At 51.1% G+C, this 26,006-nt stretch overlaps 1 protein-coding gene across 8 annotated transcripts, besides 11 other annotated features; it reads right to left on the reverse strand.

The window, feature by feature from the left end:
* Positions 1–59: 59 nt before the first annotated feature.
* Positions 60–25,514, reverse strand: PDIA4 (protein disulfide isomerase family A member 4). Of its 8 annotated transcripts, none has more exons than NR_163907.1 (10): positions 25,330–25,514; positions 17,976–18,156; positions 16,001–16,206; positions 11,913–12,051; positions 9,164–9,369; positions 8,855–9,013; positions 5,262–5,319; positions 2,906–2,990; positions 2,150–2,383; positions 60–1,218 (listed from the first exon to the last, which is right to left on the reverse strand). NR_163907.1 is itself a non-coding variant. In NM_001371244.1 (10 exons), the coding sequence occupies exons 1-10, from the start codon at positions 25,415–25,417 to the stop codon at positions 803–805; spliced, it is 1,941 nt and encodes a 646-aa protein (NP_001358173.1). In that variant the 5' UTR covers positions 25,418–25,514; the 3' UTR covers positions 60–802. The 8 variants fall into 8 exon arrangements, 3 of the variants coding, with proteins under 3 accessions (NP_001358173.1, NP_001358174.1, NP_004902.1); NR_163905.1 differs by having other exon boundaries at positions 2,906–3,062; positions 5,168–5,319; positions 17,976–18,494; NR_163908.1 differs by having other exon boundaries at positions 2,906–3,062; positions 5,168–5,319; positions 11,908–12,051; positions 25,330–25,499.
* Positions 9,820–9,986: a silencer, noted in NCBI's record as "fragment chr7:148709903-148710069 (GRCh37/hg19 assembly coordinates)". NCBI's record gives its function as "represses an EF-1alpha promoter that drives an FKBP-Casp9 reporter gene in an ReSE screen in phorbol 12-myristate 13-acetate-treated (for megakaryocytic differentiation) K562 erythroleukemia cells {active_cell/tissue: K562(+PMA)}" and the evidence as "EXISTENCE:reporter gene assay evidence [ECO:0000049][PMID:32094911]".
* Positions 15,156–15,205: an enhancer, noted in NCBI's record as "active region_26805". NCBI's record gives its function as "activates an Ori minimal core promoter by ATAC-STARR-seq in GM12878 lymphoblastoid cells {active_cell/tissue: GM12878}" and the evidence as "EXISTENCE:reporter gene assay evidence [ECO:0000049][PMID:35858748]".
* Positions 15,226–15,475: an enhancer, noted in NCBI's record as "active region_26806". NCBI's record gives its function as "activates an Ori minimal core promoter by ATAC-STARR-seq in GM12878 lymphoblastoid cells {active_cell/tissue: GM12878}" and the evidence as "EXISTENCE:reporter gene assay evidence [ECO:0000049][PMID:35858748]".
* Positions 18,915–19,034: an enhancer, noted in NCBI's record as "active region_26807". NCBI's record gives its function as "activates an Ori minimal core promoter by ATAC-STARR-seq in GM12878 lymphoblastoid cells {active_cell/tissue: GM12878}" and the evidence as "EXISTENCE:reporter gene assay evidence [ECO:0000049][PMID:35858748]".
* Positions 20,560–21,139: an enhancer, noted in NCBI's record as "NANOG hESC enhancer chr7:148720643-148721222 (GRCh37/hg19 assembly coordinates)". NCBI's record gives its function as "activates a minimal SCP1, AML or CMV promoter by ChIP-STARR-seq in naive H9 embryonic stem cells {active_cell/tissue: H9 hESC(naive)}" and the evidence as "EXISTENCE:reporter gene assay evidence [ECO:0000049][PMID:30033119]".
* Positions 24,634–25,228: an enhancer, noted in NCBI's record as "H3K27ac hESC enhancer chr7:148724717-148725311 (GRCh37/hg19 assembly coordinates)". NCBI's record gives its function as "activates a minimal SCP1, AML or CMV promoter by ChIP-STARR-seq in naive H9 embryonic stem cells {active_cell/tissue: H9 hESC(naive)}" and the evidence as "EXISTENCE:reporter gene assay evidence [ECO:0000049][PMID:30033119]".
* Positions 25,147–25,196: a silencer, noted in NCBI's record as "silent region_18741". NCBI's record gives its function as "represses an Ori minimal core promoter by ATAC-STARR-seq in GM12878 lymphoblastoid cells {active_cell/tissue: GM12878}" and the evidence as "EXISTENCE:reporter gene assay evidence [ECO:0000049][PMID:35858748]".
* Positions 25,229–25,822: an enhancer, noted in NCBI's record as "H3K27ac hESC enhancer chr7:148725312-148725905 (GRCh37/hg19 assembly coordinates)". NCBI's record gives its function as "activates a minimal SCP1, AML or CMV promoter by ChIP-STARR-seq in naive and primed H9 embryonic stem cells {active_cell/tissue: H9 hESC(naive and primed)}" and the evidence as "EXISTENCE:reporter gene assay evidence [ECO:0000049][PMID:30033119]".
* Positions 25,229–26,006: a biological region, named in NCBI's record as "H3K27ac hESC enhancer GRCh37_chr7:148725312-148725905".
* Positions 25,287–25,356: a silencer, noted in NCBI's record as "silent region_18742". NCBI's record gives its function as "represses an Ori minimal core promoter by ATAC-STARR-seq in GM12878 lymphoblastoid cells {active_cell/tissue: GM12878}" and the evidence as "EXISTENCE:reporter gene assay evidence [ECO:0000049][PMID:35858748]".
* Positions 25,427–26,006: a silencer, noted in NCBI's record as "silent region_18743". NCBI's record gives its function as "represses an Ori minimal core promoter by ATAC-STARR-seq in GM12878 lymphoblastoid cells {active_cell/tissue: GM12878}" and the evidence as "EXISTENCE:reporter gene assay evidence [ECO:0000049][PMID:35858748]".

Raw genomic sequence — 26,006 nt, forward strand, 5'->3', positions numbered from 1 at the left:
AGCTACATCCAGCTCCTGCCCCACCCCGAGGCTCCCAGCAGCACAGATCAGATGTTTTCTAACGCAGTTCTTAACGTTTTTAATCGTGTTTTATTCCATTGCCACAGCCTACTCTACCTTTTCTACCACCCCGCAGTATCTGCCTCTGGGTCCAGGGTCCTTTCTGCTCCGGCACTGGGGGCTCTCAAGAGGTGGGGCTGCCACGTGGGTGGCCTCTCCCTGGAGCTGAGCCCACCCTGGGGGACCCTGGATCATGCCCCTTTGCCCCCAGCCCTTGGTTTGCAGGGAGGCCGCCTGGCGATGCCCAGCCTGAAACAGCACCCCTGGCAGGGCTGCTCAGTGGCAGCTCTCACTTTGTGCTCAACAGGAAGCAATCAGAAACACATACCAGAAGCCAAATCTACGCCAACAATTTCTCAGACAACGAAAAAGCAAAGAGCAAAATCAACATGATTTGGAAAAGGAATTTTAAACCTTAAATTAAAAAAAGAAAACATTTTCACACAGAAGAATTATCTGCTTTGAGAAATAAAGAAATTAGAAGGTGTAAAAAAAAATTTTTCAAACCCCAAATAATGATAAAAATAGATGTATCCTCTGTAAAAATCTGGACTAAACTATTCAGTCATTCATGGTTATTCAGTATTCAGAGCATGAAGTGAAACACCAAAGTATAAAAAATTAAAAAAAAAAAAAAAGGAATCCGAGATACTGTCGTTTGTTGCCGGCCTCGGCGTGGACGCCCCGACCATGGGCCACGCAGGGCGTCTGCCTCCTCCCACCTTCCGCAGACCTCAGGCCTTCAAAGCTCTTCCTTGGTCCTGCTCAGTTTTGTGGCATGTTCTTCTATAAACTTGCTCAAATGCTCCAGATCTCTGTCTCCACCCTCAAATTTAACTGGGTTCTTTTTGTCCCCACTGGGGGCGAAGTAGATGGTGGGGAAGCCCTCCACCTTATAGCGGTCGCTGGGGACGTCGTTGGCAGTGGCGTCCATCTTGGCGATGACCAGGCCCTTTTGGCCCTTGTACTTCTTGGCCAGGCTGTTGTACACGGGCTCTAGCTGCTTGCAGTGCCCGCACCATGGCGCGTAGAACTCGATGAGGACGTCCTTCTTGGGGTCCATCACAATGGAGTCAAAGGTCTTTCCCACCACGACCTTGACGGGTCCCTTGTTGTTCTTGGGCACTGGCTGGGATTTGATGACTGGCTTCAGTTTTCCTGCCAAGGAAAGCAAGGCGGGAGGGGGCGTCAGTGCTGCAAAGGCCAAAGATTCTGGGGGCTCTCTCTGGACCAGGCAGTGAGGTTGGTGTGGCCACCAGACGGGCCAGTCACACAGGAAGAGCCCACTACTGTAGAAAGTAGTAGCTGCTACTCTCTACTCTCTGTCCTTGCAAAGGCCAGAGAGGTTGCAGGTGGCTCCAGCCCAGACCTAATGGGCCATCGGGTCCTGTCAGAGAGGCCATCACAAGAGTCACTGCCCAGGCAGAGGAGTTCCCGTAAGCACTGGCACTGAGGGCCCGGGAGCCATGGGGGGGAGGTGCCAGGACAACCCACAGACATCGGAACAGCATGGCCTGCCCACAAAATGTGGCCAGCGCTGGGGGCCTGGGGCCATGTGCTCAGCCAAGATCAACAGGCTCTGTTTAAAGCTGTACAGCAAGGTGGCCGAGGGTGAAGAGGCTCTGAGTCAGGCTCTGAAGCCACAAGGGGTGTTCAGCACACCCAGACTTTGCCCTGTCTGGGCTCCATCTTCAGATGCCCCCTCTGCACACCCCGGCCCTAGTCTGGAATTTTAGCACATCAGCGCTGGAAATGTGCTAAGGCCGCTGAGTGATGCTAGGTAAGCCCTGAGATGGACTCCGAATCTTGCTTTTGCTTTCAAAGTAAACACTGGGAGAACTGCCAAGAAGAAAATAGTAACACTTGCAAATCCTTCTTCTAAGCTATTCTGGTGCCTTGGAGTTTGGGGTCACACCCGACATTTCTCTGGACGAGAAGTCAGAGTCCCTCGGGGGTGAGAGAGGACTGCTGGCTGACTTAAGGGGGTGTCGTGCCCGTGGCCAGAGCACCAGACGCCCCTGGCCTGTCTGGATTCCGCACGAGGAGCACAGCAGCTGATGGGAGACCCCAGCCCCAGCCACGGGCTCACCTTTTTTGAAAGCAGTGACAAACTCGCGGAGGGTGTCAGAGTCAAACTCCTCTGGCTCCATGGCGAACTTCTTCCCACTCTCGTCCAGGATGGCGGCATTGACATCCTCCCCACTCTCGCTGAGCCCCAGGTCCTTCACCTCCCCAGCATAGTCCTCTTCGTCCGCAATGGCAAAGGTGTACTCAGGGAAGTCCTTGGCCACCTCTAGGACTTTGCTCCGCCAAAACTGAGTTGCTGAAAGGGACCAAGGGCCATAAGCCAGGCGGCCACACAGAGCAAGTCCCAGCTCAGACTCTGAGGTCAGGCTTCAGGTCCTGTCGCTAATATTCTGACAATGCTCAAACCCTGGATTTACCTCAATTGGAGGGAAACATGTTTCTGGAAAAGCCCCACTTGTCACGGGGGCCACAGCTGCAAGCCCAACAGGCCCTTAAGACCTGTGCCCAGGTGGCACGGCCACGCCTGCCTGGGGCCAGGGCTGGTCTAGTCCCAGCTCTGCAGCCTCTGAACTCCTCCAAGTCTCAGCTACGTCAACTCTAAGAGGGTTCTGCACCTGAATCTAAGCTCCCATCCTGCTAAAAAGGGAAGCCATCAATTAAAAAATATACCTGAGCCACCAACGTGCAAGGGCCCCAGGCTGGGATTTCTGAGTGAGCCATGTACATACAGCCACACCTCCCCTCAACACTCCACCTTGCCTGAAAGAACGAGTCCCCCCACCCCCCACCCCCGCAGGTCTTGGTGGGGGTCCCTCACCAGCTCTGTAATCAAAGCTGAAGTCCACACTGTAGTAGACGACCACCAGGGGGCGCCTGGTGTAGCGCTTAGCATCGTTTGACACCTTGCGGTGGCCAACCAGGGGCAGGGCGTACTTCAGCACGAAGTCCTTGATGGCCGAGTCCTGGGTGGAGCCCTGCTTCAAAGAGGGAACAGGTGAGGGGGCCCACCATCTCCCCACCATTGTTCTTGAGTACAATGTTTGAGGGACTTTGGGGGAGTGGCGACTTTGAAGGGGATCAGTCTTAGGAGGCAAAACACCCCAGGGCTCGACCCCACTCAAGCACAGCCCAGTCATTCCCTACCGTCTTTTGGGGCTCCTTTCCCTCCAGTGAACCGTAGGTGGCTTCTTGGGAAAAGGCAAACACCTTGGCCCTTTCCTTGGGGGTGTAGGCTCACTAACCCCACAAAGAGACCACTCAAGGTAGGCCTGGCTCTTGGCAGACAGGAAGGGTTATCACGGGCTGGGCTGTGTGGAACTTTCCACCTTCAGCTTGTGCGGTCTTCACGCAGGAGGTCCTGAGGGCTCACACTTCACAACGACTGGAGTCCCTCACAGACATCGCCCTCCAGGGGTGGGCAGAGCAAGGTCAGCCACCTGCCCAAGGCTGCGCAGCCAGCAAGTGGTGGGTGGGCCTGTGAGCCCAAGGGTTTCCGTGGGGATGGGATACTCAGGGAGGGGTCCTTGTGTGGCACTGAAGGACAAGAGGGCCCCGCTGGTGAGAAGGGAGCAGAAGGCACTCAGGGAGGCAGCAGAGACTGAGGCAGGGCACGAGGCACAAACAGGATCTGGCGTGACAGCACTGGAGGGTGGGATGTGCTGAAAAGGTGGGTAAGGAGGGCCTGGGAGGCCATGCTAAGGCACAGATAATCCAACTATCTCCCAGGTGGCAGGAGGCCGTGGAGTCTTTAACCATGACATGGCGCTGCGTGCACTTCACTCAGCAGGGAAACGCCAGAAGAACTGGGAGCAGCAGCAATGTGCCCAACAGACAAGACTGCATAGATCTTGAAGCGTCTACTGAAAGCTACAGACCCCTTTCCTGGAATATGCACTCACACACAGAGCTGTGTCCGATTCTCGGGATCAATGGCCCCCCAAGCTCATCAGGACCCCTCTTTGGGCCCAGGATCTTATCTCTGGATGGAAGGAAGTGAAGCTGGGGGGAGGGGTCGCAGCAGCCACTATGAGTCCAGGGAAGAGGAGAGTTGCCCTGAGCTTCAAGTTGGCAGAGAAACAGATGGGATGGACACACAGACCTTGAGAAAGAGGGACAGGACTAAAAACTGAGGAAGGAAACAGAGGACATGGGGACCAGAAAGATTCAGGGTGGTTCTCTCCAAGGTACTGCCATGTTCTGGTGCAGGCCCCCGGGATTCCTGTCCTGTCACACCCCCTGCTCCAGGTCCCATGAGAGCCCACAGCCCAAACAGCCAGGGTCCTGACACTATGGGCCAGTAGGACCTGGAAAGGCCCCTTCACCCCAATCTCAGCTCTGCTTCCCACCAGGAGCTGTGGGGTCTGGGGTGGGGGGTAGAGCTCACTTCTCTGCAGCCCAATCTCTGTTAAACCAAAGCTTCAAACTCGACATCTAAGATCCTTCCAAATCTGAGATCTACTCACCGAAGTGCAGGGCCCCTTCTAAAGCACTCAGAAGGCTGAACTGGCCCCAGGTTCCCCTTGGGCTGGGAACTCCCACTGCCCCTCTAGGGCTGAGTGTGTCACACTCTAGGAGGATGAAGTGCAGGGGTGCAGTAATGGAAAGAAAGGCAAAATCCACCCACCAAGGTCAACAGCTCCCTCTGGTGAACAGACAGGGATGCTGTCCCTCTGTAGCCCCCAGCTGGAGCTGCCCGAACAAACACGACTTGGCCTCAACGGAGCACCATGTGCTGGCCCAGGCCAAACCCACAGTGGAACAGGCACTGGAGGGAGACTGGTGATTGCCTGCCAGGAGGGACAAAGGGTGGCAGCAACTGTTCTGGCAAAACCAAGTGGAGCTCTGCCCAGCCCCAGGACCTGCCAGGTGTGCGGGAGCCCCAGCCCTGTCCCTCCGGCAAAGAGAGACCACAGGCCGCCTGCAGAAAACCTGTGGGGTGGGGAGAACGGGCTGGAAAAGGAGTTCCAGACCCTGCAGACAAGAGCGAAACCTCCACGTTTGAAACCTCAGAGGTGGCTCAAAGCAGAGTCCTCATGCCTGCGGGGTGTCCAGGGCTGGCATGGCAGAGGGGCCCGCTTACCTGGACGTCCATCATGTGGCTCCGGGGCTCATACTTGGACTGGAATTTCTCAGGCTGCATTACAACCAACTGCCCCTGGGAGACTTTCAAGAACTTTGCTATTTCTGTGCTGAAAGTGTGGTGAAATTTGTAATCTTCTCTCAGGTTGTTAGCTGAAACGTTAACAGAATAAGATGTAATTTTGAAAATTGCCTAAATGTCTGAGATTTAATTCGTTACCCACATCAGCCAAAGCAAATGTTCTGAAAATGACCACTGTAGGCTGGGCGCGGTGGCTCACGCCTGTAATCCCAGCACACTTTGGGAAGCCCAGGCAGGTGGATCACTTGAGGTTAGGAGTTTGAGACCAGCCTGGCCAACATGGTGAATCCCTGTCTCTACTAAAAACACAAACATTAGCCGGGTGTGGTGATGCAAGCCTGTAGTCCCAACTACTTGGGAGGCTGAGGCGCAAGAATTGCTTGAACTGGGGAGGTGAGGTGGACGTTGTAGTGAGCCGAGATCACGCCACTGTGTACTTTCAGCCTGGGCGACAGAGTGAGACTGTCTTTAAAAAGAAAAAAAAAAAAGAAAAAGAAAAGAAAAAAAGTCACCACCAAAAATTGTGTGGACAATTCCTATAACTTAAACACTTGAAAGGAGGTTCGTTTTTAAAAACTTGGTACAAGGTATAACGTCTAAATCCTGGCCGGCCACAGTGGCTCACGCCTGTAATCTCAGCACTTTGTGAGGCTGAGGCAGGAGGACTGCTTAAGCCCAGGAGTTAGTTCATTTATTATTTATTTGAGACGGGGTCTTGCTCTGTCCCCCAGGCTGGAGTGAAGTGGCGTGATTTCGGCTCACTGCAGTCTCTGTTTTCCAAGTTCAAGCCAATTCTCCTTCCTGCCTCAGCCTCCCAAGTAGCTGGGACTATAGGCATATGCCATCATGCCTGGCTATGTTATGTAATTTTAGTAGAGACAGGGTTTCACCATGTTGGCCAGGCTGGTCTCGAACTCCTGACATCAAGTGACCCGCCTGTCTTGGCCTCCCCAAGTGCTGGGATTACAGGCATGAGCCACTGTGCTCAGCCAACCCCAAGAGTTTAAGACCAGCCTGGGCAACATGGTGAGACCCCATTTCTATAAAGATAAAATAAATAACAACAACAACAAAAAAACCCCGGAAAAGTTCACAGAAAAACAGCTAATTTGCCAGAAGCTGCTGTCAACTGATGTCTATAAGCAGCACTGATTCTTTGGCAGGGGGAATGTTCTGGAGCCCACATGAGCAGCACACAGTCCTATATCCCTATGTGGAGTTTTCACACCCAGCACCCTTCGTGGAGGTTTAAATCTCCCTTCCTCAAGTTGGTGGGCTGCCTGTTTGTGGGCTGGAGCTCCGAATGAAGTTCTTTGGCTAAAGATACTTTTACTTAAATCCGTGAAAATGCATGATGAAACCCCACGGTCTGAGGGCACCCTACCACAGGGCTGGGCAAACTTTCTGAGAAGGACTAGAGAGTGAGTAGTTAAGGCTCTAAGGACCATGTGGTCTGTCCCAGCTGCTTAACTCTGCTGCTGCAGTGTGAAAGCAGCTGGACAGGGTGTGGACAAAGCTGTGTTCCAATGAGATGTCACATGCAAAGACAGGCTATGGCCAGAATGGGTGTGTGGGCCACAGTGTCAACCCCTACCCTAGATTCTACAGGTAAATGCACCTTCAGTCCCTCTCCATTCTCCTCCTCAAGGCATCCAAACTCATCCTGGGCTGATTTTGAGATTTAAACATTGGGTGTCACCCTACCCTTGAAGGGCTCTTGGTCTAGAGGTTTGTGACTCTCAGCTGGGTTATAGGACACATGTGGCTGAGATGGTAAACCATGTTTTTGGGAGGGCAGGGGATGGGGGGGCAGCCTGGATAAGCCTGTGGCTTTCAGAGTCAGATGGACTTAGATTCATATGATAGGTTTGTGACCTACTAACTGCGTAGCTTTAGACTTGTTAGTTATTAACCTTCCGAGCCACAGGCCCTTCTCTGTAAAACAGAGGCATTAAAATCCACTAAATAAGGCCACACGGGCTGGGTGCTGTGGTTCATGTCTGTAATCCCAGCACTGTGGGAGGCCGAGGCAGGAGGATCACTTGAGCCCAGGAGTTCAAGACCAGCTGGGCAACATGGCAAAATCTTGTCTCCACAAAAAAAATTAGCTGGATGTGGTGGCGCTCACCTGTAGTCCCAGCTACTTGGGAGGCTGAGGTGGAAAAATCACCTGAGCCTGGGGAGGTCAAGGCTGCAGTGAGTCGAGATCACACCACTGCAGTCCAGCCTGGGCAATCAGAGTGAGATCCGGTCTCAAAATAAATAAATAAGGCTACAGCTATCTAGATGGCGCCTGTTTTAAGCCTCCAGGTGTCCTGGGGATTTGTAGTCAGTTGGCTTCAGGCAGAGACAGACCCGCATCAAGAACTTCACCTCCTGCCCACCCCAGGACCACAGACCCTTTCATCCCCCAGCCGCCCTCTCTGCTCCGGCCCTGCCAACCTATCTGTAGAACATCTTGTGTCCCTGGGGCTAACCCCTCTCTCATAAGCAGGCCCAGTGACTCTTGCCCCATCTGCAGCCCTAACCCTGCCCAAGCCAAATCACAGACTGACTCCTAGGAATGTGGTGCCAGGCCTGCCTGGGACCCACAGCACTGGAACCTGCATTTTAACAAATTCCCTGGGGATTTGCATGCACATCAATGCACGTAACTTGCAGTCAGACTTGGGGCTACGGAATCCCCTGCTGCCCATAACCCTGGGTGGGTTGGGGTTTCCTTCTGCAAGTTTCTTCCTGACTAGTTAGGCGTGAATAACAAGGCCACCTAATTAACAGATGAAGGGAATTTAGCTCTACTGGTTTTATACATTAATCTGCATTTGACTTATGCACAATTGTTATTGTAAAGCACAGAATTAGCACTAAGTAGCAAGCTGTGCATTTGAAAAATTATAATCAGTTAGCACTTAGCCAAGCTGGTTTTGGTGTAGTGGGAGAGGGTAGCACTCAGAAGACATCAATGAGGATGGCCAGGACCCTGAGTACACCTGTCCCCAGGCATCAGGAGCCAGACCAAGGCAGACGATGGATTTCAGGATGGGGCAACTGCTGCCTGCCCCTACCCCAACAGAACACTATTGCTGACAGCTGTTCACAGTCATTTCACTCCTCAGGCTAGCAAGACTAGCATTTATAATACACTTAGCATTATCAAGTACATTGCTAAGCTCTTCATCTACATTATCTCAGTGTAATAACCTCTCAGAAAAGACCACCACCTTGGGCAAGAGACCACTAGGCTAACTGAGTCACCACCTGTGGTCACAGTGATAATAACTGGAAGAGCCAGGCCTTGAAAGCTGGTTTGATTCAGAGGCCGGCACCTTATGGCCTGAAGACCTGCCCTCCTCGGGCTCTGGAAGGCAGACATGGAGCTGGGACCGGTCTGACTGTGCCCCTCCCCTGCACCGAGGCCAGGAGGGCCACAGGGGACCCATCTCCAGCCCCAGCCCCAACTCCAACCCCAGAATGGAAAGCTTATTCCCAGAGATGGCTCATCAAACCACCCCCTAATGGATGTCCCAGGAGCTTTCTGAAAAACCAGGCAACCGCAGACGGCCCAAGGCACGCACATTTTGTTCAGCCCAGAGGGCCACAACTCACCGGCATCCTGGTATTGCTGGTAGGCTGGGTCACTCTCCCCCTTAAAGACCCCGATGATGATGACATCGTCTCCATCCTTCAGGAACTCCTGGACCTGCTTCAGGGTCAGAATCTCCTTGGAGGGAGGCCCGGACTGCTCGATCATGTAATCAACGATTCCTGGGAGCAGGGCACACGCCTGAGCAGGGGCACTAAGAACTGCCCACTTCCCATGGCCCATGCCTGCCAGCCCCCAGCACCTTCAATGGCAGCTTCCTGTTAGGGAGTTTCCCTTCCCCACTGTAGTGGGAGAGAAGGGAGTGGCCATACCATATTTTTCTCGTGGGCCGTTGTAGTCATAAGGCCTTCCTTTGCGGAAAATTTTCAGGGTGGGATAGCCAGAGACATCAAACCTCTTGGCCAGGTCTGTTTCTGCGGTGGCGTCGACCTTTGCCAGGGGAATTGGAGGAGAACGCTTGCTGAGCTCCTTGGCGGCCTTCTCATACTCGGGGGCAAGTTTCTTGCAGTGTCCACACCTGCCAAGAGGAAACTGGTTTGTCAGGGGCTCATTCTAGTGTGGACTCACTTTCTAGCTAAATGAGCTGCAGAAACCCATCCTGTGCTCCCTAGTAACCTGGCCACACCCAGTAAGCCTCCGAATGCCTCCTAGACCCTCAGGCCCTCAGGTGCTGTTGAGGGCGCTACCGCTGGACAGACACAAACTTCATCCCACAGCATTCACACACTGGGGGTGGAGCATGCGTACACACATGTACAGGACACAGACAGGACATTAGTAACTGCGGCACAGGGGAAAACATGGAGAGGCCAAGAGAGACACTGTCCTGAGCAAGAGGACTTTCTTGGTTGGAGAGTTGGGGGCCAGCAAGGATGTAAGTCATAGATGGCTTCAGAGGAGGAGTAGCAGTGGAGCTAGGATCCAAGGGACAGCGAGGAATTAGCCAGGAGCCCACGGGAGGTGGGGCGAAGAGAGGGTCGGCAGGTCCAGGTAACAAGAACAGAGGCATGGAGAACAGAAGAGCGTCACAAACCCTCACTGACACAGACCACCCAGGGAGGAGATGAGGGAGAGTCCCTTGGAGTCAGTATTGCGTCACACAGCCCATTGCCCACAAGAACTGGCCGGGCGCAGTGGCTCACTCCTGTAATCGCAGCACTTTGGGAGGCCGAGGCAGGTGGATCACCTGAGGCCAGGAGTTTGAGACCAGCCTGGCCAACATGGCAATACCCCGTCTCTACTAAAAATACAGAAACTAGCTGGGCATGGTGGTGGGCGCCTGTAATCCCAGCTACTCGGGAGGCTGAGACAGGAGTATCGCTTGAACCCAGGGGGCGGAGGTTGCAGTGAGCCAAGATCGCACCACTGCACTCCAGCCTGGGCAACAGAGCAGGACTCCGTCTCAAAAAAGAACCAACATCCCACACCCAGCTGGGGCCTGGCACACAGGAGGCTCTCAGTCCTGAGTTAAGATAAAACACCATCCTGTCAAAGTCCTTAGGACACCCAAATGAATTAAAGGGTGCATCTTGCAACTTCAAAACCATTTGTTGGCTGGCACAGTAGTTCATTCCTGTAATATCAGTGCTTCCAGAAGCTGAGGCGGGAGGGTCGCTTGAGGCCAGGAGTTCAAGACCAACCGGGGCAACATAGCAAGACCTCATCTCTAAAAATATTTTTTATATTAGCTGGGCGTGGTGGCACACACCTGTGGTCCCAGCTACTAGGGAGGCTGAGGCAGCACAATTGAGCCCAGGAGTTCAAGGCGTAGTGAACTATGATGGTGCCACTGTACTCCAGCCCAGGTGACAAAGCAAGGCCTTATCTCAAAAGAAACCTAAGAAAACAAAACAAAAAAAACAAACAACCTCCCACCACACACACAAAAACACATCAAAAGACCAAAAAACTGTTTGTGAATAAATGGATAATTATCTTCTGAGGCATCATCAACCACTTCAGGGAAATCGCACTACACTCGCTGAGCGTGCACTGTGCAGCAGTCGGCTCAACCTGGCTCCTGAGCGAGCCACAAAGCAACCCACCAGTTAGATGTGCAGCTGCCACTCTCCCTCTCACACCTCCCACCCATCAGGCCAGGGCCCCATGCATAGCGAAACAAGGGTCTGTGTCTCTCCAGCATCGCAAGGGGGTTAGAAGGGTGCCCCACGTGTCCCAGACGCTTCCTTCCTTCTCTCCCAGATCATTTCCTTCTCTAACCACCCACCTGACTTCACTTTTCATCTGCACATCCAGCAACTCCCAGGTTTCTGCTGCAGAATCTGTGGCCTCAGGTTTGGGCTTATCCAGGCATTGCCTGGAACAAGGGTGTCCTGGTCCCAAACCTGACCCCACAGTGCAGAAGGTGCCACCCACCCCCCGGCCTGTGCATCAGCCATGGCCTCCACCTGCTGGTTCTAGGCCCAAAAGCTTCCTCTGCTTACTGACTCTCCCAGACTCCCTACAGAACACACCCATCTGAGGCGGTTCTTGGTGGCCTGATGGTCAGACATACCAGGACTGCTCAAGAACCAGAACCACAGCTGACCCACCACAAAATCACCAAGACAGATGGTACCCTGGGCCGTCTCCTGGGAAGGCAGATGGTCTCTCCTGAAGCCAGGCTCCCCTCTCCCTTGAGAGCCGTCTTCTTCCGCTCTGCTCTCTACTCTGACTGCTGCCAGCTTATCCACGCAACTGGTTGTGCGTCCCTCCCCTCCCCTCCCCATGAAGCAGCCACCTCAGTTCCCCAAGCTGGGCAGCTCAGACCAGCCACTGTACTTGCTCCCACTCCGACCACCTCTCTTTCTGCCATCTTCTTTCCTTTGGGTCCCTTCTCCCACCCAAGAATGGACTACTTGGCAGTTCCTTCCACATTCACTCCCCCAACAGCTCTCTTACATCCACGCTTCTTCCAGAAGACCTGGAGCCTCAATCCTGGCCTACAACTCGTGCCCACCTTGCTCCTCTGCTGTTCCTGCCTCACGGGCAGGGGCCTGCCACCCCGCACCTAGTGCCCACCAGGGTACTGAATATGGAAAGGGCCTGACACCACCTTACCATGGGGCATAAAACTCCACCAGAATGATATCTGCATCATTCACAACTTCATCAAAGTTCTCTTTGGTCAACACAAGCGTGACTTCTGGTGGAGGCGTCCAGTCGGGCTGGGAGACTTCTCTGACCTTGGCAACAATTTCTGAAAGAAACCAAGCAAGACTGAGCACACAAGGCCCAAACTGGCAGGCACTTCACCTCCCTCCAGAAGCAGATGAGGAGGGGGAAGAAAGCAAGTGTCGGGGCCCACAAGAACAGGAGGTGTCTGATTTCCTGAAACCTGGCTGCATCTCTGCAGTTTTGGGGACACAGCCAAGAGTCAGAAGGTTCGCTATTTCCCAACAATTGTCCATCGCATTTCCACAGCCTGCAGACTTCTCCAGAGGGCCTAAGACTTACTGATGGTTGAGACTTCCTTTACCATCAGGCTATGGTACTAACTCCACGCAAACCCTCACCAACTCCCAATGGTTTTGATTACATATGCCTATGGATAGCATTGTGGGGCATCTCCTGAACACATACAAAATATATACATATTTAGTCATTCACATCTAATGTTACTATATTACATACGTCATAAGATGTATGCAAAAAAAAAAAAAAAAAAAGGAAAAATTTAAAAGAGGAGCAGTAGCTCCCATTGCTCAAGGTGCAGTGGCATTACCTGAGAAGGCTTTTAAAAAATGCCCATCTGTGGCCTCATTCTCCAGAAATGGACTCCAGGGCTGGAGTGGAACAATAAATTCGTACAAAAAATGTGCCAAGCAGTTCTTAGGACGAGTGGTTGCAAACTGTCACTCTTTTTCCCCACTGCAGAATCTACCAAGGAGCCAAATCTACAGCCACTCCTGCAAAGCTGCAGTCTTCAAACTGAAACGTGCACAAGCACCTCCTCTGCGCATTCGCAGCATGAAGTGTCTGTGCCCTGCCCCCCAGACCACACCCAGGGGTCCTGAGGCACTTAACACATAGGAGGCCTCTTTATCAAAACATAGCATACACTGCTCTAAAGTTTGCAAAACAGCCAAGTCTCTTGCAGTCAAATGTTGGCCACAGACCTCCAAACGCATATGCCTGTTTACTTCACAACAATAGAAGTACTCAACTTTTAGGCCAGGGGTGGTGGCTTGCCTGTAATCCCAGAACTTTGGGAGGCCGAGGTGGGTGGATCATGGGTGGTCAGGAGTTCAAGACCAGCCTGGCCAACATGGTGAAACCCTGTCTCTACTAAAAATACAAAAATTAGCCGGGCGTGGTGGCACATGCTTGTAACCCCAGCTACTCGGGAGGCTGAGGCAGGAGAACCCACTTGAACCCCGGAGGTGGAGGCTGTTCGGTGAGCCAAGATTGCACCACTGCACACTCCAGCCTGGGAGACAGAGGAAGACTCCATCTAAAATAAAGAAGTACTCAACTTTCAATTTGTTTTAGATTAAGTTCTTTATGTATGGATATGGCTAAGACATATCTGTTAAATAAAAACATGAAGGTACAGGATAGTATTTGACATATACTAATAACTGTAAAAATGAGAAAATCTCTCTCAGACAGATACACACACACACCTGCTTTTATGCATACAAAATATCTCCAAACACAGAAGAAACCTGTTACACTAGTACCTTTTTTTTTTTTGAGACAGAGTCTCGCTGTCGCCCAGGCTGGAGTGCAGTGGCGCGATCTCGGCTCACTGCAACCTCTGCCTCCCGGGTTCACGCCATTCTCCTGCCTCAGCCTCCTCCACACACCAGCCACCTGCCACCACATCCAGCTAATTTTTTATATTTTTAGTAGAGATGGGGTTTAACCATGTTAGCCAGGATGGTCTCGATCTCCTGACCTCGTGATCCACCGACCTTGGCCTCCCAAAGTGCTGGGATTACAGGCGTGAACCACCGTGCCCAGCCTACTAGTACCTTCTTAGAGGGGAGCTGGATCACCCAGGTTCAGGGAAGAAAGACTATTCATTAATCTACCTCTCTGAATTACCAAGTTTATAAATGTATTACCTAGTCAACAAACTGTGACACTAAATATCAACGGAAGCAAATCCATTCTCTTTGTATACGCCACAGTGAGTGCCATTGCTTAAAGGAGCAGAGGAGAGCCTCTCACACCACCTCAGAGATGTGATCTCAGATTACATCCAACTGACACCATGCTCCACAGATGAGATGCCAAGGCCTGGCAAGGGCAAGGCGCTCGTCCAGAACACAGGCCTATCTTATGTCTATGAGGACCGGAAGCCTATTCAACGCTCTTTCCTCTACTCCACACTGGGAATGGAAAATGCAGCCGCATCTTTTTTTTTTTTTCTGCCAGTGATTCAGAGAGATTTGCCCTTGCTAAAGGATACCATGTTCATTCAATAAAATTAAATAATTTTATTAAAATAAGAGGCCGGGCACAGTGGCTCACGCCTATAATTCCAGCACTTTGGGAGGCCGAGGTGGGCGGATCACCTGAGGTTGGGAGTTTGAGACCAGCCTGACCAACATGGAGAAACCCCGTCTCTACTGAAAATACAAAAATTAGCCGGGCGTGGTGGTGTGTCCCTGTAATCACAGCTACTCTGGAGGCTGAGGCAGGAGAATCACTTGAATCCGGGAGGTGGAGGTTGCGGTGAGCTGAGATTGCGCCATCGTACTGCAGCCTGGGCCACAGAAGCAAAACTCCGTCTCAAAAATTAAATACATTTTATCAAAATAAAATTAAATATTTTATCAAAATAAAATTAAATACATTTTATCAAAATAAAATACATTTTATCAAAATAAAATACATTTTATCAAAATAAAATTAAATACATTTTATCGAAATAAAATTAAATAAAAATCAAATAATTTATTTGTTCATTCATTTAATAAAATGCATGTAGTGTCTAATGTGAGCCAGGCAGGGATCCATCAGGCCAGATTGCAGACATCCTCAGAGAATCCCTGGATGTGGCTCTCTGCACCTGTGGTTCTCAGCACATGGCTTTGAGCCAGCAGCAATTTTGAGCATGCAGCAGCCCTGCATGCTTGTAAGAAATGCAAATTATTGGGCGGGCGTGGTGGTTCACGCCTGTAATCCCAGCACTTTAGGAGGCCAAAGCGGGCGGATCACGAGGTCAGGAGATCGAGACCATCCTGGCTAACATGGTGAAACCCCGTCTCTACTAAAAATACAAAAAATTAGCCGGACGTGGTGGCAGGCGCCTGTAGTCCCAGCTACTCAGGAGCCTGAGGCAGAAGAATCGCTTGAACCCAGGAGGCGGAGGTTGCAGTGAGCTGAGATCATGCCACTGCACTCCAGCCTGGGCAACAGAGTGAGACTAAGTCTCAAAAAAAAAATAAAAAAGAAATGCAAATTATCTGGCCTGACTTGTACTGTATCTGGCCTGAAATGTGCTGAATCAGAAACTCTGGCGCTGGGGCCCAGCAAGCTGAACAAGCCCTCCAGATGACTGACGCTTGCTAAACATTAAGAACCAGTGCTCTAGACCACCACCAAGACCCGTGACCTCTGATGTCATTTCCTTACACTCCTGTTTATTTATTTTTTGAAACAGAGTCTCATTCTGTCACCCAGGCTGGAGTGAAGTGGCACAATCTCAGCTCACCGCAACCTCCGCTTCGTAGGTTCAAGCGATTATCCTGCCTCAGCCTCCCAAGTAGCTGGGATTACACTCATGAGCCACTACACCCAGCTAATTGTTGTATTTTTAGTAGAGATGGGGTTTCACCATGTTGGTCAGGCTGGTCTTGAACTCCTGACCTAAAGTGATCCAGCTGCCTTGGCCTCCCAAAGTGCTGGGGTTACAGGTGTGAGCCACCATGTCTGGCCCATTTCCTAACACTCCTGCCCATGTTTTGAGTTTCAGAGTCTGAAATGTAAAGATGCCACGCCCCAACCCACCCTGCCCACCCCACTACTCCCCCCTCCTACCCCCCCACCCCCACCCCAAGAGCAAATAAACATTCCAGAGGGCTAAGGTTCCTGAGAAAGTCAGTCCCTGGTACCCTCAGCTTTTCTTCCTCTATTAGCCAAATTCCCATTCCCTGCGGGAAGGAGTTCTTCCTCTACGAGCTCAGGTACCAGCTCACCTTCCTGGGTTCTGGAGCCCTCGTAGTCTACAGCCTGCCCCTTCTTAAGGATCTTGATGGTGGGGTAGCCACTCACATCAAACCTGCTGGCCAGCACAGACGCTGAGGTTGCATCGATCTTGGCAACAGGAATGGGAGGATCTTTATCCTTTAATATGTTGGCAATTTTTTCATATTCCGGAGCAAACTGCTTGCAATGTCCACACCTAACAATTAGATTAGGAAGGGCAAAAAACGTTAACTGTACCTATGGGATTTAAATCCAACAATAATACATACCACTTTGGTTTGGATGTGGTTTGTCCACACCAAAATGTTGAAATCTGATCCCCAGTGTGGCAGTGTTGGGAGATGGGACCTAGTGGGAAGGGTTTAGGTCTTAAGGGTGGATCCCTCATGAATAGGCAAATGCACTTTCACGAATGTAGTTTAAAAGAGCTTGACATGGCCGGGTGCAGTGGCTCACACCTGTAATCCCAGCACTTTGGCAGGCTGAGGCAGGTGTATCACCTGAGGTCAGGAGTTTGAGACCAGCCTGGGCAGTATGGCGAAACTCCATCTTTACAAAAAATACTTTGGGAGGCCAAGGTGGGCGGATCACTTGAGATCAGGAGTTCAAGACCAGCCTGGCCAACATAGTGAAACGCTGTCTGTACTGAAAATGCAAAAATTAGCTGGGCTTGGTGGCAGGCGCCTGTAATCCCAGCTACTCAGGAGGCTGAGGCACAAGAATTGCTTGAACCCAGAAGGTGGAGGTTGCAGTGATCAGAGATCATGCCATTGCATTCCAACCTGGGCAAAAGAGTGAAAATCTGTCTCAAAAAAATTTTTTTTTAATTTCTCAGTTTTAACTTCAAATATGGTAAATATTGATAAACATGACCCATATAAAAAGCCCTCTGAGGTCCTCACTTCTTAAGAATGTTAAGGTCTCTTTGAACTAAAAAGTATGAAATCTGATAATTTATGAAAGAGGAATAATATAACCTCATAGAGTCTTGCTCTGTCGCCCAGGCTGGAGTGCAGTGGCACAATTTCAGCTAGTTGCAGCCTCCCCCTCCTAGGTTGAAGCAATTCTCCTGCCTCAGCCTCCCGAATAGCCGGGACTACAGGTGCGTGCCAACCACCATGCCTAATTTTTGTATTTTTAGTAGAGATGGGGGTTCACCATGTTGGCCAGGCTGGTCTCAAACTCCTGGTCTCAAGTGATCTGCCCGCCTTGGCCTCCCAAAGTGCTGGGATTATAGGTGTGAGCCACCATGCCCGGCCTATTTCCATGTTTTAAATAAAACACTTGTGCTACGCTTGACCCTCAGGCACTGGACAAAAGTGAGTATATCCTATTTGGTCTCAGAAGTGAAACAGAAAGGGCATGAGACAGAAGAGCAAAGCAGGGGTCATGAGATTCAAAACAGTAGAGGAGAAGGGATGAGAGGGACACAAGAGCTCTAACGGTCTGCACTAGGAGGAGTAAAGACAGGAAAAGAAGTGGGGATGCCTGACTGGTCCCCCCGCAGGGCCTATGTGTGTAGTAAAAAATCCACCACACAGGCCAACAGCCTGCACTTGGGGCAGCTGCCTGAGCAACAGCCTTTGAGGGAAGAGGAAGGCAGGGTGGCCTGAGACAGGTCGGAGCAGAATCTATAACAAGGACGTGTCTGTTACCAACACAGGGCTCTGTGTCATTGCCGCTTGTTAAATGCCCGTCCCCCAGCTGTGACCATCAGAGGACGTATTCATCTTTAACCCACTGGACTGAGACAAGAAGACATCGCCTTCCATGAGGGCTGGCTCACTGGCCGTTCAACGCACAGTGGTAGAACGAGTGAGCTCCCAGCGTTCTTAAAGCTAGAGTGCAAGTTCCTGCACCCAGACACTCCTACCCCACCCCCCAAGGTCTGGATGACCGGGTGAAGGGCTGAGCGAATGGAGCACAGCGCTTGTCCACCTGCAGAAATTAGAACGCGGTCCTTACCATGGAGCATAAAACTCCAGCAGCACTGTGTCTTTGTCAGCCACAAAATTATCAAAGTTTGCATCATTTAGGACCAAGACTCCATTTTCTTCCTTAACTTCCAAGTCGTCTTCTTCCTCATCATCATCTTCCTCCTCCTCCTCCTCTTCATCCTCAATGGCATTTTCTCTGTTAGAAGAATCTGAGTGGAAAACACCCAGACTGGTTACAAAGCTGGTGGTGACTCTCCTTAAAACTTTCCTGGCCGGGCGCGGTGGCTCACACTTGTAATCCCAGCACTTTGGGAGGCTGAGGTGGGCGGATCACGAGGTCAGGAGTTCAAGACCAGCCTGGCCAATATGGTGAAACCCAATCTCTACTAAAAATACAAAAATTAGCCGGGCATGGTGGCACGCGCCTGTAGTCCCAGCTACTCGGGAGGCTGAGGCAGAAGAATCGCTTGAACCTGGGAGGCGGAGGTTACAGTGAGCCGAGATCGCGCCATTGCATTCCAGCCTGGGTGACAGAGTGACACTTCATCTCAAAAAAAAAAAAAAAAAAAAAAACTTTCCTAAAATTCATACACTTCAGAATGTGTCAAGTCCCGGGTGGTCCCTGGGGGCCCACCACGTCATTGGCTGGTGACATCAGGCCTCCCTCATGCCAGCTGTTCTAAGTTTGCTACTTAAAATTTCATTCAGAGGGAGGTCATGGCTAAATAATATTTGAAAACCACAGCTCTAGAATATAAAGTCCAAATGTCCCAGGGGAAGTTGGAGGGCAGCACAGACTACCCTACCCTTCCAGAGTCGCGGCCCCCTGCCTTGCTCTGCAAACCCTGCCCTGAGCCCAGACAGCCTCCGCATTGGCCACCTCCTCCCTACTTCCTTGTACCACCCTCTGCGGTCTTCCCGGGCCTCGCTCCTGTAGCTCGGGCTCCCCTACCCACATCCCACACTCTGCATTTCAGGGCACCGCATTTCGTGATCTCGCCCTAGCTTGTCTGTGTTCAACGTTATTGCTCACTGATGTGCCGCCTCCTCCTCACCCTGTATGCTTTCCACAGGCAGGGCCTTCAGTAACACCTCCCATCAACAAATTATCTGCCTGGCCCCAAAAGAGTACCAACAGGAAACAAGTACTCAATCTTTTCACTGCAGAGGATGGAATACTAATTCCATTTCTGAAAGGGGGTGGCATTTTACCTCATACCCATAAAAAATAGCCCTTCAGGTTTTATAATCCTTGAGGAAAAGGCTCAAGTGTGAAGGGGAAGAGGGCGGGAAATCTCATTTTACTTATAAAGGCACCCCTGAGTAATTTCCAGGATAACAAATATAGAAATTGATGGGGTCAACATGTATCAAAAATCACACCTTTGCTTGGAAGCTAAGTTTTCTTCCTAGAATGTGAGAAATTGTGTATATTTTATTTTCAAGGTTCAACTTATTTTATTTTATTTTTTTTGCCAAACCACAGATACAAAGAACATGGAATTGCCATTTTTATTAACCAGGTTCTCTGGCTACTGTCACACCAGTAAACTGAACTGGGCACAGCAAGCACGGCAATTTCATTAACGCTGAAGCCAGAATGTTTCCGGGGCCAATTATTCTTTTCTGGAGATGTGTTTTCCAGGAGGTAAATGAACGCTGCTAGTTACTGTTTTGGGCTGTGGATGAGGTCAGGGTCTGAAAACCTGCCCCTGGGATCCCAGAACTCCTGGGGCTCACCAACCCTGATGAAGGAACCCCGCGTGGACTCTGTGGCTGCCTAGCCACGGAGGCAGCCTGCACCCACCCCACATGGCTGTGCCTGCCCTCTGCTCCTCCAGCCTACTCCTTGGGTCTGTGCCGGGCAGGGAGAAGGGGGCAGCTTTGTTCATCACTGTCAACATGTACCAATCTGCAAACTTTACAAAAAAGCCAACAAGAAAGCCCACTGGCACACACTAGTCACCCGCACTCAGTCCTCTTCCTTTTAAACATCCCACAGCTTTTCCTGACTTGCACATTCCTGTTTCAACTTAAGGCTTAGGATCCTCTTTTGTCGGAGGAGGGAGAAAGAGCTCTAAAATGCCAAAAGCAAACCCACCCATCTGAGATGAGCCTCCTGCCTGCCACCCCTCCCTCCACACCAGGAACTCCCTAGGCACTGTCAGAAGTTCATGGAGGGCAGAACACAGAGAAAGACAGCCTGGGCGCAGGCCCACCTCCCCTGGGGTCTCGGGACTGCGTGTGTCTGACAGTACAGGCAGGGGCCAGGCTGACATCTCCCTGTGGAGCAGAGGGAAACCCAGTGTTCCCAAGGTTTTCTGGTCTCCCTTTTCAGATCATTCTAGACCCCCAAGAGGGAGAAAAAAGAAAAGATCCTCTGCTCTGTGCTATTTAGAAAATCTTGCCCACTGTATTTACCTGTGTCTTTGAATGAATCGTGTGAGGCTGAAATACACATCTTGTGCTGATGTCATTAAGACTAAGCCCAAGTATTAGGGTTGGTGCAAAAGTAATCGAGATTTTTGACATTTTTTTTTAAATCCTGGGTGGTCCCTGAGGGAGACCACCAGGGGCCCCGGCTGGCAGTTAAGTAGTGCTTTGGGACCATCCATATCCACTCTCACTACCTAGCTGCTCTGCCCAGTAGGAGTCAAAGTTACTTGCAAGCAGATGGATGGGAAGATTGGAGGAAGGTCGGAAATAATGCACTGGGGAACTTAATCAACTCTTCCAGGTAGGAATCACAGCTAGGAGAGGAAGGGAAACTAATTGGCTCGGTGCACAGCATAAGACTGACGTTTGCAGCGAAGAGGCCTAAAACATGACCACATAGACAACTCCTTTACAGGGTGAATTTTACAAAAAACAAAGACGTCTTCTTACCTATGGTCGGCCTCAAGTGGGCTCTCAACATTACAATGTGACAGAGCTCTCATGATTAAGTGGGAGCTGACTAGTCACCATGGGACACAGCATTCCTAAGAGGCAACTTCTTTCTTGACCCTTTTAAAAAAATGAATTTTGGCGAGACATGGTGGATCACGCCTATAATCCCAGCACTTTGGGAGGCCAAAGAGGGTGGATCATCTGAGGTCAGGAGTTTGAGACCAGCCTGGCCAACATGGCAAAACCCCGTCTTTACTAAAAGTACAAAAATTAGCTGGGCATGTTGGTGCATGCCTGTAATCTTAGCTACTTGGGAGGCTGAGGCAGGAGAATTGCTTGAACCCAGGAAGCAGAGGATGCAGTGAGCCGAGATCACACCATTGCACCCCAGCCTGCGTGACAAAGCGAGACTAACAACAACAAAAAAGAATCCCATTATCTTTTTAAAGAATAAACAAAATGATAGGACATTCCCTATGTAATTAAGGACTCTCAAGGCCCCTACCTTTCCATTTCCTCCCCAGCTCACAGACAAGCCAGGATTGATTCCTCTGCAATTTGGGAAGGTGCTAGCTCTAGCCTTCTATCTACCAGAAACCCACACATCCCTGCAAGCAAAACAGTCCACATTTTAGTGGGGGAACACTTTTCACTGGGCTTCATTTTTAAAGGTGGACATTCTAGGATAGAAAATACATCCAGGGCCGGGCATGGTGGCTCATGCCTGTAATCCACGTGCTCCTCTGGGAGGCTGAGACGGGCAGATCACGAGGTCAGGAGATTAAGACCCTCCTGGCCAACATCGTGAAACCCTGTCTCTACTAAAATACAGAAAAAAGTTAGCCAGGCATGGTGGCACACACCTGTAATCCCAGCCACTCGGGAGGCTGAGGCAGGGGAATTGCTTGAACCCAGGAGGTGGAGGTTGCAGTGAGCTGAGATCGCACCACTGCACTCCAGCCTGGCGACCGAGCAAGACTGTCATTTAAAAAAAAAAAAAAAAAAAAAAAAAAAAGGCCAGGTGTGATGGCTCACGCCTGTAACCCCAACACTCTGGGAGGCCGAGGCAAGCGGATCTCCTGAGGTCGGGAGTTCGAGACCAGCCTGACCAACATGGAGAAACCCCATCTCTACTAAAAATACAAAATTAGCTGGGCGTGGTGACACATGCCTGTAATCCCAGCTACTCGAGAGATGACGCCATTGCACTCCAGCCTGGACAACAAGAGTGAAACTCCATCTCAAAAAAAAAAAAAAAATATATATATATATATATATATGTATGTCCAGAGCCTTTCAGCACCCTCTGAAAAGATGCAACCTTCCTCAGCATGAGACAAATGAATTCCCAAGTTCATCTCCACATTGCTCAGCCCACATGCTAAGGCCTCTCCTGAAGTGGGGGACCCTCACCTGAGCAGGTTGCCTCAATCCCTGTCCACTCCCACGGGGCACACCTGATGACAACACTGGGTCCTGCTCAGACACAGGCAGCTCCTTTTAGGATGTCCTCACTCTCCGTCCTCAGCTGATCACTCTCATCTCCCCCAGAGAAGTGCCTGAAACAGCTGCATAAACTCTACCATTCAGCCAATACTGAAGAGTTTGTATTAAACACAGAAACAAGAACTGTTATCAGCTACGGTAACCATGATAGCTGGTATTTATTGTATGTACCAGGCACTGTGCTGGGCTCTTAAACACACCACTTCACCCCTTAAGGGAGACTGTATTACACGTTATATTGTATCTTACAGATGAAGAAACTGAGATGCAGGAACTTGAGTCACCTGTCCAAAGATCACAAAGCTACTTAGCGGAGGGTCCTGACCACTTAACTGCTATGCTGTATTGTCACATTAGATTTTCTTCCCAATACGCCCAAAGTTTTTGGTGGAATCATTTAGAGTTTCCACATTTTTATGGCTCCGAAAATAATTATGTCTCAGGAATGAAAAGAGGAGGAGAGTTTAACAGTTCCTTAGCACGAAAAATAGGTGAATTTCTACTTACTTTTAAATCTAAACAAACCAATACCACATAAAAGCAGGCAACAAACAGGATCAGAATATTTTCCTTTCCTGTTTTAGCATGAAGGATGTGTAGAGTGCAGGCACCTTCTGAGACACGGAAAGCCCTGCAACCGGAGGCTTAAACCATCAGAGCTTAGGGTGTATTTAGTAACCATGTTGGGGGAAGGAGGGCATTTAAGTACCTAGACACCACTGTGCTGTCTAAATCTAAAATGTAACAGAAGCAAAAAGAAAAAAAAAAGCCTCGAGACTTGAAACACTTGAGGGGTGAGGTAGTGCAGACTTGAAATAAATCTGTTGGACAAGTTATCAGTGAATCTATGACAGGTTTTGACAGTGAATGGCCGAGGGATGCCCTCAGGGATGAGAAAGGGTCAAGGTAAGCCCACACCGTGGCTCACGCCAGTAATCCCAAACACTGGGAGTTTAAGGATGGAGGATTGCTTGAGGCCAGCCTGGGCAACATAGTGAGACCCCATCTCTACCAAAAAAAGAAAAAAAATAGCCAGGCTGGGCACGGTGGCTCACTCCTGTAATCTCAGCACTTTGGGAGGCCAAGTCAGGCGGATCACGGGGTCAGGAGATCGAGACCATCCCGGTTAACACGGTGAAACCCCGTCTCTACTGAAAAATACAAAAAATTAGCTGGGTGTGGTGGCACGTGCCTGTGGTCCCAGCTACTAGGGAGGTGGAGAAAGGAGAATCACTTGAACTCGGGAAGCAGAGGTTGTGGTGAGCTGAGATCGCGTCACTGCACTCCAGCCTGGGCGACAGAGCCAGAAAAAAAAAACAGCCAGGCGTGTTGGCAAGCACCTACAGTCCCAGCTCCTCGGGAGGCTGAGGCAGGAGGATCCCATGAGCCCAGGAGTTTGAGGCTTAAGTAAGCCATGATCAGGACAGTGCACTCAAGCCTGGGCAACAATGCGTAACCTTATCTAGGAAAAAAAAAAAAAAAAACGGAGCTAGAAGTCCCAGGAGGCCTGCCCTTGGCCATGATGACCCCTGGGATTCCTAGGCTCACCCTAGGAGCAACTGCTTCCCAGGGACTCTTCTGTGTTAAAGACCTCTGACCGGAAGGATAAACTTGCTGGTCCTAACAGCTCCTAAAGCCACTCTCCCAGGCCTCTCAAGAATCCCCCCAAAAACAGAATCACTGGATCAAAACCAAGACAGTGCTATATGCTTTTCCGCTATGTTCCAAAAAGCATCTTCCACCCACACTGGTCCTCAACTTTCACTGTGCCTCCCGAAGTTAATTCTATGTCTCAAGGGAAAACTGACTTAAAACGCAGATTCCGGGGCCCACCCCTGCATTCTGCTTCAGTGTATTTTGGGTATCTGTATTTAAATAAACACTATTTAAACAAACATGATTTGGGTAAAGGTCTCAAGACACAATTTGTAAGCAGTCCCGCTATCGGATTCCTTTCGGCAGGTGTTTTTCTCGCCGAGTGTGGGTTTTTACTTCCTTTTCTATTTGGGCAAAGACTCTTTTTGAATCAGTGACCCACGCAGAAGTTACTCAATCTGTTTGAAAGAGTATAAAGTTCACGATTTCCCTACACACTAACATTATCAAAGAGTGTATATTTATATTAGAACAAACTCAGAAGGTTAAAAAGCTAGTGATTAAAAGTAAGGGCAGAGAGGAAGAAGGTAAAGACCAGTACCTGGATGCCTTATTCTCTAGGAATAACAACTTTTCCTTAATTAGCACTTCCTAATCTTCAGAGTTCTTATGTCTGCAGCTAGCTCACTTCGAAGAAAAATGCAGGGACCATGAAGTAGTTGTTACTATTCCTACTGGAGTACGCGCTTCATGGGCAGGGACCACACTCACAATCTTTTCCTCCCAGAACCCAGTACAGGGACTGGCACACAGTAAATGCTAAATGCAGAAGGAATGGTATCTCTAGTTTCTCAAAGGTGCAAACCAAGCCATCCCTTTCTCCAGAATCTATGGATTAATCATTTCCAAATCTACAGACCACATTTTGAAAAGGAATGCTTGCTGTTCCAAAGAACTCGCACTTGTTTCTTCACGCCCTCGCCCCTTCTCTCCAGTGGCTCTCCCTCTCCCTTCCCACTGCCTGGGCGCGTTCGCCTGGAGTTAGCCTGGACCTGACGAAAATCTGTAAATTAAGGCGAAGGACCCAGCTGCAAAAAAGGCGCTCTGCAGCCCTCTCCCAGCCTCGGGTGACAGGGGTCTTCCAGGGCGTCGGAGCCCAAGAGACCCCGGCCACCTTCCTCTCCCGGGAACCCCAAATCGATCCTGCCACTGCCACAGCCACCGCCCCCGCCCCTTCAACTCCGCCAAGTTTACCCCGGGCTCGGCGCCCATCACTAGTTCTGGAGCTGACCGCGCGGAAGCCCGCCCGCCGGGGTCGCAGGGCCCAGGCCCCCGCACAGCTCTGCAGCCCCCGCAAGCACAGCCCGACCCGCGGCGCGCTTGCCGCTCACCCTCGTCCGGGCCCTCGGCACCCGCCACGGCCAGCAGCTGCACCAGCCCCAAGAGCAGCAGGAGCAGGAAGGCTTTCCGGGGCCTCATGGTAGCGGGGGCGGAGCGCGGCCTCCTAGCGTCGGCGGCCGCTGAGCGCACCGAGAACTCGGGGTCTGGCCGACAGCCCGTCGCTCCTTAGCGACGCGGGGGAGCCGGAAAAACCCACGGAAGTCGTCCCCGGCGATTGGCAGGGGGCGGAGGAAGTCGCGGGCCGGCCAATCCCAGACTGACGCCGGCACGGACCGCGCGCGCCTCGGCCGCGACGAGTCGGCTCCGCCGCCCTAGGCCCTCCCTACTCCTGCGCGCGGCCCTCGGCTGCGCGTTTAAAACTCCGAGCCCTAACGTGAGGTGCCCCCTTCTGATTGGCTGCGCCACAACCACCAATCAGCGGCTGCCACTCGGTTTGCCGGGAGCGCACAGGCCAAGAGGGAGAGCGGGGGAGAACAAAGGCGGCGGGCCGGGCACGGGGAGTGCGGGACCTGGCTACGCCTCGGGGCGCTATTGGCAATCGGTGCCGGGGGCGGGGCAGGAGAGGCGGAGCCTGGGAAATGTGGAGCGGGGCGGGGCTCGGCTCAGCATCCTGCGGCCGAACTTGGCAGTAAGAACACGTGTCGGTACCGGAGCGGTGGGGAGCAGT

Source organism: Homo sapiens, chromosome 7 (assembly GCF_000001405.40).
Source record: "Homo sapiens chromosome 7, GRCh38.p14 Primary Assembly".
Taxonomy (NCBI): Eukaryota; Metazoa; Chordata; class Mammalia; order Primates; family Hominidae; genus Homo; species Homo sapiens.

Excerpts from the sequence above, each read along its gene's own strand:
- PDIA4 (NM_001371244.1), bottom strand. The coding sequence starts at position 25,417 with ATGAGGCCCCGGAAAGCCTTCCTGCTCCTGCTGCTCTTGGGGCTGGTG. Across the intron at positions 16,207-17,975 it reads CTGGAGTTTTATGCTCCATG|GTGTGGACATTGCAAGCAGT; the intron begins GTAAGGACCGCG and ends TCTAATTGTTAG. Across the intron at positions 3,066-5,167 it reads GCCACATGATGGACGTCCAG|CAGGGCTCCACCCAGGACTC; the intron begins GTAAGCGGGCCC and ends CCCTCTTTGAAG.